Source organism: Homo sapiens, chromosome 7, assembly GCF_000001405.40.
Source record: "Homo sapiens chromosome 7, GRCh38.p14 Primary Assembly".
Lineage (NCBI taxonomy): Eukaryota > Metazoa > Chordata > Mammalia > Primates > Hominidae > Homo > Homo sapiens.
In genome coordinates, this window is record NC_000007.14 from 139377171 (window position 1) to 139391192 (window position 14022).

General features: G+C 42.0%; 2 protein-coding genes across 4 annotated transcripts in view; both read left to right on the forward strand.

Moving 5' to 3' along the window:
• The window catches only part of LUC7L2 (LUC7 like 2, pre-mRNA splicing factor), an 82983-nt gene that overhangs the window by 36699 nt on the left and 32262 nt on the right, over positions 1-14022 (forward strand). The gene's annotated exons all lie outside the window — the stretch shown is intronic.
• FMC1-LUC7L2 (FMC1-LUC7L2 readthrough) overlaps positions 1-14022 on the forward strand; it is an 82118-nt gene that overhangs the window by 35834 nt on the left and 32262 nt on the right. The gene's annotated exons all lie outside the window — the stretch shown is intronic.

Here is a 14022-nt window from a genome sequence, read left to right on the forward strand (position 1 = left end):
ATAATAAATATAATAAACTCTAAACTCTTTATTTATTTATTTATTTTTTCTGATACAGAGTCTTGCTCTGTCACCCAGGCTTGGCGTGCAGTGGCGCAATCTCAGCTCACTGCTACCTCCACTGCCTGGCTTCAAGCGATTCTCCTGCCTCAGCCTCCGGTGTAGCTGGAATCACAGGCGCGTGCCACCATGCCCGGCTAATTTTTGTGTGTTTATTTTTATTTATTTATTTATTTTGAGACGGAGTCTTGCTCTTCTTGTCACCCAAGCTGGAGTGCGGTGGCATGATCTTGGCTTATTGCAGCCTCTGCCTCCTGGGTTCAAGCGATTCTCCTGCCTCAGCCTCCCAACTAGCTGGGATTACAGGTGCCCACCACCATGCCCAACTAATTTTTGTATTTTTAGTAGAGATGAAGTTTCGTCATGTTGGCCAGGCTGGTCTCGAACTTCTGACCTCGTGATCCACCCGCCTTGGCCTCCCAAAGTACTGGGATTACAGGCATGAGCCACCGTGCCCGGCCCTAATTTTTGTATTTTTAGTAGAGACGGGGTTTCACCATGTCGGTCAGGCTGGTCTTGAACTCCTGACCTCTTGATTTGTCCACCTCAGCCTCCCAAAGTGCTGGAATTACAGGCATGAGCTACCGCGCCTGGCTTTTTTTTTTTTTTTTTTTTTTGAGACAAGAGTCTTGCTCTGTCAGCCAGGCTGTGAACACTGCCCACTGCAGCCTCCACCTCCCGGGCTCAAGAGTTTCTCCCACCTCAACCTCCCAAGTAGGTGGAGCTACAGGCACACACCACCATGCTCGGCTAATTTTTGTATTTTTTGTAGAGACTAGGTCTCACCATGTTACCCAGGCTTGTCTCAAACTCTTGGCTTCAAGTGATCCTCCTGCCTCAGCCTCCCAAAGTACTGGGATTACAAGCGTGACCCACTGCACCTGGCCATAATAAACTCCTTTATCTACTTTCTAACATTTTCGTAATTATTTTATACCGTGTGCTATGCTGCATCTGAAATCTATGAAATCTATCATTGTCTATAGTATACTGTGATTCTCCATGTTTAATATTGTATAAAATTTAACTTTATTTAATTTAAAAAATTTACTTTTAATTTTTATTTAATGGCTAAATTACTACTTGAGATAAATTTTGAGAACAACATTAACAAAACCACTTGAGGCCAGGAGTTTGAGACTAGCCTGGTCAACATAGTGAAACCCCATCTCTACAAAAAGAATTAAAAAAAAAATTAGCCTGGCATGGTGGTATTTCCTGAAGTCCTAACTGCCTGGGAGGCTAAGACAGGAGGAATGCTTGAGCTCAGGAATTCAAGACTTCAAGTGAGCTGTGATCACACCAGTGTACTCTACCCTGGGCAACAGAGTGAGACCCTGCCTCAAAAAAAAGAAAAAAGAAAAATCAACAGTTACAATTCAGTGTTTTTCATTCTTCATTTAACATCAGAAAAGAAATAGGCATCTTGAACATAAAGAGGTGTAAACTATCACACTCTGTCCCAAAAAGCATTTGTTCTTTAGGGATTGACTGCTAAGAAGCCATAGCTCTGTAATTATAAGCTATTTGTACATAGGGTGAACTGTTAAGTTTTTCAGGTCCTTAAGGACACCATTGTATGACACTTTCGGAGTCTCACAACGTCCTTTACGTGGTCCTCAAAACTCTGCTTAAATTCTGAAAGGTTCACAACTCAAGTAATCCTCCTACTTCAGCCTTCCAAAGCACTAGGACTACAGGCAGGAGCCACTGTGCCTGGCCTTAACTGTTGATTTTATGATGCTTTTTCTTTGTTGTGTACCTAAAGATTGTATGACTAAAGGTTGCCCTTTAGTTTGTATTTTTAGTAGAGACGGGGTTTCACCATGTTGGTCGGGCTGGTCTTGAACTCTTGACCTCTTGATCTGTTCGCCTCAGCCTCCCAAAGTGCTGGAATTACAGGTGTGATTAGGTGTGCCTAAGATCTGTCACTTGCAGCAGAATATGATTTACCAGTATTTTAGGTTATTTAGAAAAAGAATACAGAAAAGCCAGGCATGGTTGTACATACTTATAGCCCCAGCTACTTTGGAGGCTGAGGTGGGAAGGTTGCCTGAACTCAGGATTTCAAAGGTAGCCGGGACAACATAGTAAGACTCTGTCACAAAGGAAAAAAGTATCCAGAAATGCATTTCCTGCCTTTTTTTTTTTCTCATTATAAAGAGGTTGGAACTTTATATCAAGCACTTAGAGATGGAGAGTGTGATTTCTAAATATTCTCTTCATAATTGACAAGTTAGTTTGGAATTTTTTGCAATTGAGTTTCATGAAAATGCACTTACAACATTTTACCTTTCATTATTCTAGTATAACTAATGCTTTTTTTTTTTTTTTTTTTTTTTTTTTTTTTTTTTTTTGAGACAGATACTCGCTCTGTTGGCCCGGGTGGAGTGCAGTGGCATGATCTCGGCTCACTGCAACCTCCGCCTCCAGGTTCAAGTGATTCTGCCTCAGCCTCCCGAGTAGCTGGGATTACAGGCATGCACCACTACACCCAGCTAATTTTTGCATTTTTAGTAGAGACAGGGTTTCATCTTGTTGGCCAGGCTGGTTTTGAACTCCTGACCTCAGTTGATCTGCCTGCCTCGGCCTCCTAAAGTGCTGCAATGATAGGCCTGAGCCACTGTGCCTGGTCTGGCATAACTAATTCTTAAAATAATAAATTAATCAGGGCTGGGCGTGGTGGTTCACGCCTGTAATCCCAGCAGTTTGGGAGGCCGATCACTTGAGGTCAGGAGTTTGAGACCAGCCTGGCCAACCAACATGGTGAAACCCCATCTCTACTGAAAATACAAAAAATTAGCCGGGCGTAGTGGCCCGCACCTGTAATCCCAGCTACTCGGGAAGCTGAGGCAGGAGAAATACTTGAACCCTGGAGGTAAAGGTTGCAGTGAGCCGAGATCACACCACTGCACTCCAGTCTGGGTGACAGAGCAAGACTCTGTCTCAAAATAAATTAATAAATTAATCAGAGGAGGTAAAACAGAACAGAGGATCAAAATAATTATACGTTTAATGATTTTTATAAGAAATATGAATATTTTCTTTATCTCAGAAAGTTACTATACTTCAAAAGCTTGCGGCTAGGCTCAGTGGCTCATGCCTATAATCCCAGCACTTTGGGAGGCCGAGGGGGGATGGGGGATCATCCAAGGTCAGGAGTTCGAGACCAGCCTGGCCAACATGTTGAAATCCTGTCTCTGCTAAAAATACAAAAAAAGTAGCCGGGCATGGTGGCAGGTGCCTGTGATTCCAGCTGCTCGGGAGGCTGAGGCAGGAGAATCGCTCAAACCCTGGAGGTGGAGGTTGCAGTGAGCTGAGATTGTGCCACTGCACTCCAGCCTGAGCAAAAGAGCGAGACACCGTTTAAAAAAATAATAATAAAATAAGAAGCTTGGATTATTTTTCTATTCTTCTAGAATATATTCATATTGTAGTCTCTCTCTTTTCCTCATTTTGGCCCACTTTCTCCCTGCTAAACTCACTGTAGGCAGTATGCCCTTTCAGATTTAGGCAAAACAAAAAAACCTAAACCAAGCTGTCATTTTTTTCCTCAACACATTTCTTCTGGTACGTATCTTCCCTGAGGAAAGATAAAGAAATTGACATGCTTTAAAAAATATTTCCATCTAGTTCCTAGTGATCGGGAAAAAAGATACATGACTAATAATTTATAGTAGACTTTAAATATAAAGCAAAGATGTTAACAGAAACTTGAAATTAAGATCTTAGGACATGGCAAATGTATACTCTCATAGTATGTGTGTTCAAAATTCAGAAATCAGCACCACTAATTTTATGATAGCCCTCATCATAGCGTAACTTTACTGTTGATAGGCCCTCATATCTTCTAGTGTAAAGTCATCATTTTACAGTTCAGAAAAACTAAGGCTTAGAGAAATTGTGCTGTTAAATGTCTCAATAAAAAAAAACCACAGTATTCTATACCATTTAGGAATCTTAAATCTAGAAATACTTAAAACAATTTTTTGTCAGTTTTTTAGGTAATTCAGTTATCCAGGGCAGTGACTTTCACATGTTTCTGAAACATCCTTGGAGGCAGCTCATGCACTAAGGATTTAGGAGTAGGCTAGTTCGTTCTATTTCAACTCAAATTTTACATATTTTATTTTATTTTATTTTATTTTTATTTTATTTTTTATTTTATTTTATTTTATTTTATTTTATTTTATTTCATTGAGACAGGGTCACACTCTTGGCCAGGCTGGAGTGCAGTGGTGCCATCTCGGCTCACTGCAACCTCTGCCTCCTGGGATCAAGCAAGTCTCCCGCCTCAGCCTCCCGAGTAGCTGGGATTACAAATGTGCGCCACTAGGCTCGGCTAATTTTTTTTTTCTTTTTTTGAGACAGAGTCTCGCTCTGTTGCCCAGGCTGGAGTGCAATGGTTTGATCTCGGCTCACTGCAACCTCCCACTCCCGGGTTCAAGTGATTTTCCTACCCCAGCCTCCCAAGTAGCTGAGATTACAGACACACGCCACCATGCCTGCCTAATTTTGTATTTTTAGTAGAGACGGGGTTTTGCCTTGTTGGTCAGGCTGGTCTCGAACTGCTGACCTCAGGTGATCTGCCCGCCTCACCCTCTGAGAGTGCTGGGATTACAGGCATGAGCCACTGCGCCTGGCCTAATTTTTTTTTTTTTTTTTTTTTTTTTGAGTCAGATTCTTGCTCTGACACCAGGCTGGAGTGCAGTGGCACGGTCTCGGCTCACTGCAACCTCAGCCTCCCAGGTTCAAGCGATTCCCTTGCCTCAGCCTCCCGAGCAGCTGGGACTACAAGGTGCGCCACCAGGCCTGGCTAATTTTTTGTATTTTTGTATTTTAGTAGAGATGGAGTTTCACCATGTTGGCCAGGGTGGTCTCAATCTCCTGACCTTGTGACCCGCCTACCTTGGCCTCCCAAAGTGCTGGGATTACAGGTGTGAGCCACTGCCCCCAGCTAGTTTTTGTATTTTTAATAGAGATTGGGTTTTACCATGTTGCCCAGGCAGGTCTCAAACTCTTGACCTCAAGTGATCTGCCTGCCTAAGCCTCCCAAAAAGAACCAATCTTAAAAAATACTTACAGATAGGGTTAGGGACTTTGATATTGTCGTAGTCAATATTATTGGGGACTTTGATATTGTCACAGTCTTTATTTATTTATTTATTTTTTGAGACAGTCTCTCCCTGTCACCCAGGCTGGAGTGCAGTGGTGCTATCTTAGCTCACTGCAACCTCTCCCTCCTGAGTTCGAGTGATTTTCCTGCTAGTCTCCCAAGTAGCTAGAACAACAGCCACGCGCAGCCACAGCCGGCTTATTTTTGTGTTTTTTTTGTAGAGACGAAGTTTCACTTCCACCATGTTGTCCTGGCTGGCTGGTCTCACACTCCTGGGCTCTAGGGATCCACCAGCCTAGGCCTCTCAAAGTGCTGGGATTACAGGAATTTGGCACCATGCCCAACCTAAAGTAATTAAAGTAAAAATGTATTTGCTTATTTGAAGTGATTAGATGGGATTATTGGTTGTCAGATATTCTGACTGAATTTTATGTTGCCCCAGTAGGTTCCGGGTTTTATCCCAGGTGCACCTTTTATGATTTGAAACTCCTTTTTCTTATTGCTTCCCTGACTCTGTTTTAAAGCCTGATCTAAAAATCAGTTATGTGGGTACATACAAACCCAAACTTTAAAAACTGCTGAAGTATCTTTTTTTTTTTGGAGGAGTCTCCCTTTGTTGCCCAGGCTGGAGTGCACTGGTGTCACCTCAGCTCACTGCAACCTCTGCTTCCTAGGCATAAGCAATTCTCCTGCCTCACCCTTCCAAGTAGGTGGGATTACAGGCGCATGCCACCATGCCTGGCTAATTTTTGTATTTGTATTTTTATTTTATTTATTTATTTTTTTGAGACGGAGTTTTGCTCTTGTTGCCCAGGATGGAGTGCAGTGGCACGATCTTGGCTCACCGCAACCTCTGCCTCCCAGGTTCAAGCAATTCTCCCACCTCAGCCTCCCAAGTAGCTGGGATTACAGGCATGCGCCACCACACCTGGCTAATTTTTTTTGTATTTTTAGTAGAGACGGGGTTTCTCCAGTTGGTCAGGCTGGTCTTGAACTCCTGACCTCAGGTGATCCGCCCATCTCGGCCTCCCAAAGTGGAGAGTATCTTGGCTTTATTGGATTTATTTATTTATTTATTTTTTGAGATGGAGTTTTGCTCTTGTTGCCCAAGCTGGAGTGTAATGGCGCGATCTCGGCTCACTTCAACCTCTGCCTCCCGGGCTCAAGCAATTCTCCTGCCTCAGCCTCCCGAGTAGCTGGGATTAGAGGTGCTGCACGCCACCATGCCTGGCTAATTGTTTGTATTTTTAGTAGAAACGGGGTTTCACCATGTTAGCCAGGCTGGTCTTGAACTCCTCACCTCAGGTGATCCGCCCACCTCGGCCTTCCAAAGTGCTGGGATTACAGATGAAAGCCACCGCGCCCGGCCTTGATGTCTTTTTTTTTTTCTTTTTTCTTTTTTTTTGTGACGGAGTATTGCTCTTTCGCCTAGGCTGGAGTGCAGTGGTGTGATCTCGGCTCACTGCAACCTCCGCCTCCTGGGTTCAGGTGATTCTCCTGCCTCAGCCTCCCGAGTAGCTGGGACTACAGGTGCCCGCTACCATGCCTGGCTAATTATTATTATTATTATTATTTGTATTTTTAGTAGAGACAGGATTTTACCACGTTGGCCAGGCTGGTTTCGAACTCCTGACCTGAAGTGACCCACCCACCTTGGCGCCTCCCAAAGTGCTGGGATTACAGGTGTGAGCCACCTTGCCTGGCCCTGGCCTGGATTTCTTATCAAAATATGACACCAGTGGTTACCTGTGCAAGTATGAAAAATCAGTCTGTAAATTGTTTAACTCTTTTCCCATAAATGGTTTATTTTGGGCTGCCTTGGTATTATTTAAGGGTTTAAGTATTATTTAACTAAGATTAAAATTTGAAGAGATCTGGATGTGGAGATCTGATGTTTTTGGCATTAACCCTGATTATTGGCTTGATATTTAGTCAAATGTATATATATTTCATATATACTCCAGGCTGGAGTGCAGTGGCGTGATCGTGGCTCACTGCAACCTCTGCCTCTCGGGTTCAACCGATTCTCCTGCCTCAGCCTCCCGAGTAGCTGGCATTACAGGCTTGCACCACCATGCCCCGCTAATTTCCAAATTTAGGTTTGAAGTGTGTTCTTATTTTAAGCAGATTTGCTGTATTTTATTTCTCTCAGTCTATTACAAAAATATATATTCTCAACTATTTCTAGAGACTGCCTAAATAAAAAATGCATTTGGTGCCCAGGAAGTTAACAGTGCTTTAAAAGATTGCCAGTGAATAATTAAAATTTTACTATTAAACCTTAAAAACCAAGGCTTTAATCGTTTAAAACATTTTTGGCAAATAGGAACAAGAATACTCAAAAATAGTAAACGGGGTACTCACGCCCTTTGGAAATAATCCTTTTCTGTCATTCTGAATAATAATTTTTTTTAAGAGTTGGGGGTCTCACTGTGTTGTCCAGGCTGGAGTGCAGTGGCTATTTGTAGGAGCAATCATGGTGCAATACAGCCTTGAACTCCTGGGCTCAGTTGATCCTTCCAACTCAGCCTCCTAAGTAGCTGGGACTACTGCAGATGCACACCACCATATCTGGCTCTATTTTGAATAATCTTAGATCATTCATTTTATATACTATTTAAAATAACACAATTCAGGCTTATGGAGGTAGGTAATTTTTTTCCCCATGGTGACCCATAAACCATGTATAGTAATATCTTATTCTGGTTTAGTGTTTGTTTCTAGTTGAGGGTTGTCAGCACTTTTGTGTATTACTTGTATTAATAAGTACAGATATACGTTCATATGGGTATGGCGGACTGTAGTGTTGATGTTTATTTAATGAATTTTCATGTACCCATCAGCTAGCTTCAGGAAATATTTTACACACAGCCTACTGTATTTTATTTATAATCACATATATTCCCCCTGCAGCTTTTTTTTGAAGGACATCTTCAAAAGTCTTGAATCTATCAGTTAGGATTACTTTTTTTTTTTTTTTTTTTTTTTTTTAAAGAAACAGGTTCTCATTCTGGCACCCAGGCTGGACTGCAGTGGTATAATCGTAGCCAGTGCAGTCTTGAACTCCAGGGTTCAAGTGATCCTCCTGCCTCAGCCTCCCAAGTAGCAAGGACTGCAGGCTCATGCCACCATTCCCAGCTAATTTTAAAATTTCTGTAGAGAGAGACTCTCGCCATGCTGTCCAGGCTCTTCTCAAACTCCTGGCCTCAAGGGATCCTCACACCTGGGCCTCTCAAACATGCTGGGATATGGAGGTGAACAACTGTACCCAGCTGTAAGATGACTCTTGAAATTAAAGAAAGTAGTAAAAACCAGTTATTCCCAAACAAAGTAGGAGGTCTGGAAGTCATTGAAGCAGATTGTTTTTCATAGTCTAGTACTGGTTAATATATTTCAGTGTCATATTGATTTCTTTGTACAATGAGTCTCAATAAATGCTTTTTCCCTAAGGATCAGGAATTATTCTCTTAGTATTTCCTGGACCCTCCAGATGTTTTTTAGAGATAAGTAGTTTTATCAACTGTATTTTAACACTTCTAAGGAAACAAGTGTGTTCTCCGCAACTATTTGTTGAAAAAGGGAATATGGAGTTATAAATACATCATTTGGAGGATGTAATTCATTGAACACAATAGTAAGAAATGAAAACTTGAAAACAATAATTTTTTTTTTTGAGACCAGAGTCTTGATGTGTCTCCCAGGCTGGAGTGCAATGGCACAATCTTGGCTCACTGCAGCCTCCACCTCCCAAGTTCCAGTGATTCTCATGCCTCAGCCTTCCAAGTAGCTGGGATTACAGGCACCCACCACCACGCCTGGCTAATTTTTGTATTTTTAGTAGAGATGGGGTTTCACCATGTTGGCTAAGCTGGTCTTAACTCCTGGCCTCACGTAATCCACCTGCCTTGACCTCTCAAAGTGCTGGGATTACAGGCCTGAGCCACTGTGCCCAGCCTAAAAATATTCTTTATACAGGCGATTAACCACAAACATCAAGCACATTTACAAAGAATTACAAAATCTCTGTCACTGGAAATATTTTTCTCTGTCACTGGAAATTTTTTTTTTTTTTTTTTGAGATGGAGTCTCACTCTGTCGTCCAGGCTGGAGTGCAGTGGTGTGATCTTGGCTTACTGCAAGCTCCGCCTCCCGGGTTCACACCATTCTCCTGGCTCAGCCTCCCTAGTAGCTGGGACTACAGGCGCCTGCCACCACACCTGGCTAATTTTTTTTTCGTATTTTTAGTAGAGACGGGGTTACCGTGTTAGCCAGGATGGTCTCGATCTCCTGACCTCATGATCTGCCCACCTCGGCCTCCCAAAGTGCTGGGATTACAGGCATGAGCCACCACGCCCGGCCACTGGAAATATTTTTTAACATGTGATGAGTTCAACCTTTAGGCAAGACCTAAATGCTTTCTAGCTGATTCTTACTCATTAAGGGAACTTCTAAAAGCTCATTAGTGTTTTACTTTAACCTATATAGGATTAAAGGATTAGAGCTTTTTTTTGAGACAGAGTTTTGCTCTTGTTCCCCAGGCTGGAGTGCAATGGCTTGATTTTAGCTCACTGCAGCCTCCTCCTTCTGGGTTCAAGCGATTCTCCTGCCTCATCCTTTCAAGTAGCTGGATTACAGGCACGTGCCACCATGCCCGGCTAATTTTTTGTATTTGTAGTAGAGACAGGGTTTCACCATGTTGGCCAGGCTGGTTTTGAACTCCTGGCCTCAGGTGATCTACCTGCCTCAGCCTCCCAAAGTGCTGGGATTACAGGCATGAGCCACCGTGCCCGGCCAGAGCATTTTGAGAATACATGGTCTCATAAACTTTTTTGGCTTGCAGGATCAAAAATAAAGATATGTGTTGATTTTACTCAGATAATATGACTTGTAAAGCTGGAGTGCAGTGGCGCGATCTCGGCTCACTGCAAGCTCCGCCTCCCAGGTTCACGCCATTCTCCTGCCTCAGCCTCCCGAGTAGCTGGGACTGCAGGCGCCTGCCACCACGCCTGGCTATTTTTTCGTATATTCAGTAGAGACACGATTTTACCATGTTGGCCAGGCTGGTCTTGAACTCCTGCTCACCTTGGCCTTCCAAAGTGCTGGGATTACAGGTGTGAGCCACTGCGCCTGGCTGAAAATTTTTATTTTATTTATTTATTTTTTATACGAGAGCTCTTGTTTCCTGATGGAAACAAAAGAAACAAATGGAGAAAATTTTCGATGAAGTGACATTTGAGATCGAATGTGGAGAAGAAGGTAGTCATTTCTGAGTGGGAATCAACTTGCCATTTTGTTCCTACGCAAAACTTGTGGTGGTTCTGTATTGTTTATACCTGTACTGAAAAATCTAAAATACTTACCCAGGCTACTTCTCCCTTGAATGAATAAATCGTATAAGTTGTTTTTTCTTTTCCTTTTTTTTGGAGACAGAATCTTGCTGTGTCATGCAGGACTGAAGTGCAGTAGTGTCATTATAGCTCACTGAAGCCTGAAACTCCTGGCCTCAAGTGATCCTCCTGCTATGGCCTCACAAAGTGTTGGGATTGCAGGCGTGAGCCACCATGTCTGGCCTGGTTCTCTTGTTTGACCAAACTGATTTACTTATTGTCGTCTCACTCCTTTCTTTCCCTCGCATGCTTCTCATTTTTGTTTACACTCTTTTCTTCTGCCTGCAATATTCTTTCTCCTCTCTACAAATTTAAATCCTATCTGGCTTACTATATGTGATTGCCTTACCCTGTAACAATTTAGCCTCTGAACCCCAGTATAGCACCTGCTTTCTGTACTATTGAAAAAAAATTTATCTCATTTGTGTATATATTCTCATTCTCTCTCTCTTTCCAGTTAGATAGTACACCATAGTCTTTGTGTGATAAGACCTCTTGTTTTAACTTTTTCTAGTTTTCTTTGCATATCTAGGGTCAGAAATGGTTATAAAAATATTTCCTATGTTCTTAAGAAAATTACAAAAAGGTAGAAAAATATCATGATTTATCTTTACTTTGGGAAAAATAGGTTTGGAGCTGGAACATATACAAGTGGGAAGAGGCAGTTAAGAAATTGGGAAGTGGTAGAAAAGCAGCAGCGTTATGTATGCACAATGTGCCCCATTTCTCTTCACCCTATACTCATGTCTAAGGTATACTTGTTAACATGGGGGTCAGACTCCGTGTTCTTGTGTAATTCGTTAGAGCATCTTCTGGAAAAATGCTTGAGCTGTAACTATGGGGAGGAATATGTATAACTTTCATCCTGGAAAACTTGGATAAAGAAAGCCTGTAGTGAATGTAGTCATATATCTGTATCATACTAGATGCTGCTACTTAGATTTCCTGTTATTACATCAAAATCATCTTGTCCAGAACAAGACATTTTCCCTCATAGATCAGTTTTCCCATTTGATTTAGTCAGTTCTCTTGGTGGCATCATTGTTTTCTCATGTTTGAAATACTTGAAACCCTGAAGAGACTCCTGACTTTTTTCTTTCCACACTTAATTTCCATTTAGCTAATACCTGTAGGTTGAAAGTTATTGTGTTATTGAAAGAATATTGAGCTATATTAAAGACCTGTTGAGATTTTTACTCTGCTGCCATTAGCTTATGATCTTAGGCAAATATTGATCTGTCTGAGTCTTGATTTCCATATTTGTAAGAAGGTGTGATGGGATTCATTATTCCAGAGACACTTCACATTTTTTAAATGATTTTTTTTTTTTTTAATTCTTCGGCACTCTGGTTTACCTCTGTCACCTCCTTTCTTTTTTCTCTTCTAATTTGACCCCAGTGGCTTTATTCCTAGGTTCTTGTAATATCTTTTCTTGCCCTTTGTCTCTTTCTTCTGGTCAATCCATCTAGTGTTAATGGTTCTGAAACATGGATTTTATTGTGTCGTATTTCTGCCTGAGTAGTCAAGCATTCTTCTTTGCCTACAGAATAAATTCTGCATTTTTTTTGACTCATTTTCAGACTCTTTCACCATCTAGTCAGAGGCTGTAAACTAGTGGCCTGTGGGCCAGTATAATCCTACATCCCCTTTTCCCCCCATCATTTTCCTTTATCTTCTAGTAGAAATCTTCTCGTTCCAGTTAAGTTGTTCCTCTTTATTTTCCCGATAGGAAATACTGTATTCTCCTCTTGAAGCATGTGCTCTGGCTCTTTCCCTCTATTATTTGTCTTCTGTGTAAATTATCTTCACTTGTCCTAGAAACCTCCTCATACACACTGATATTTAATAAAGATAGCCCTCTTTTGTGAATTTGCTTGAAAATGGAAGCATTAGAAGTAGGTAAAGTTATGAGCCAAGGAAATAAGTTATTCATTGAACAAATATTGAGCTGTAATATAATATTATATCATATTATGTAACAAAATATTGAGTACCTATTATGTGGTGGACTGTGTTATCTGATTGGGGCTGTTACAATGATCAAGAAAGACTATGTTCCTCCCTCATTGAGCTTATATCCCATTGCAATCAATATGCAAAAATAAGTAGGTTGACAGCCTGCCTTCAGAGTGCTTTTATAAACATCTTACTTGATCTGAACAGCAATCCTGAAGTACTTGAGAAAACAGAAGTTCAGCTGGCGCAGGCAGGATCACTTGAGGCCAGGAGTTACCAGCCTGGACAACATAGCAAGATCCCATCTCAAAAAAAAATTAACTTGGTGTGGCATGCACATGTACTTCTAGCTAGTGAGGAGACTAAAGTGGGAAGATCACTTAAGCCTAGGAATTCAAGGCCGCAGTGAGCTATGATTGTGCCACTGCACTCCAGGTTGGAAGGTCAGAGAGTTTAAGTGAATTTCTCAGGATCAAATGGATAATACGAGGTAAAGAGAGGTGTTTTGATGTGGTCCAGTGCCCAGTCTCTCTCTCTCTCTCTCTCTCTCTTTTTTTCTTATTTTTTTTTTTATTTTTATTTTTTTTGGAGACCAGGGTCTCAATCTGTCCCCCAGGCTGGAGTGCAGTGGCGCCATCTCCACTCACCACAACCTCTGCCTCCTGGGTTCAAGTGATTTTCCTGCCTCAGCCTCTTGAGTAGCTAATTTTTGTATTTTTAGTAGAGATGGGGTTTCGCCATATTGGCCAGGCTGGTCTCAAACTTCTGACCTCAAGTGATCCACCTGCCTCGGCCTCCCAAAGTGCTGGGGTTACAGACATGAGCCACTGCGTCTGGCCTAGTCTGTCTTATTACTTAGACAATGTAGTTTTTTTTTTTTTTTTGAGACGGAGTCTCGCTTTGTCGCCCAGGCTGGAGTGCAGTGGCACGATCTCGGCTCACTGCAAGCTCCACCTCCCAGGTTCACGCCATTCTCCTGCCTCAGCCTCCCAAGTAGCTGGGACTATAGGCGCCCACCACCATGCCCGGCTAATTTTTCTGTATTTTTAGTAGAGACGGGATTTCACCGTGTTAGCCAGGATGGTCTCGATCTCCTGACCTCGTGATTCGCCCGTCTCGGCCTCCCAAACTGCTGGGATTACAGGTGTGAGCCACCATGCCGGGCCTAGACAATGTAGTTTTTAAGTACAGGAGAATAAAGCATAAAACATGAATATTTCCAATTATACATCACCCTCCTTCTCAGATCTAAACCTTGTCAACAATTTAGTGTACATCTTTCACTCTCCTTGTGTAAATGCTTGTGCACACAAGCTTGTGTGTTTTAACAGATGCCATTATATTGTTTGAATTTTTTTCACTTGTCTTGGAGAGGTTTCCATATCAGTTGTCTGCATTTTTAAAAATGCCTGAATAATATTGTGTAGTGTGGCTGTTCTCTTACATGCAGTGAGTATTAATATATTCATAGTCTTTGTTTCTGTTTTTGGTGTACACTGTGGC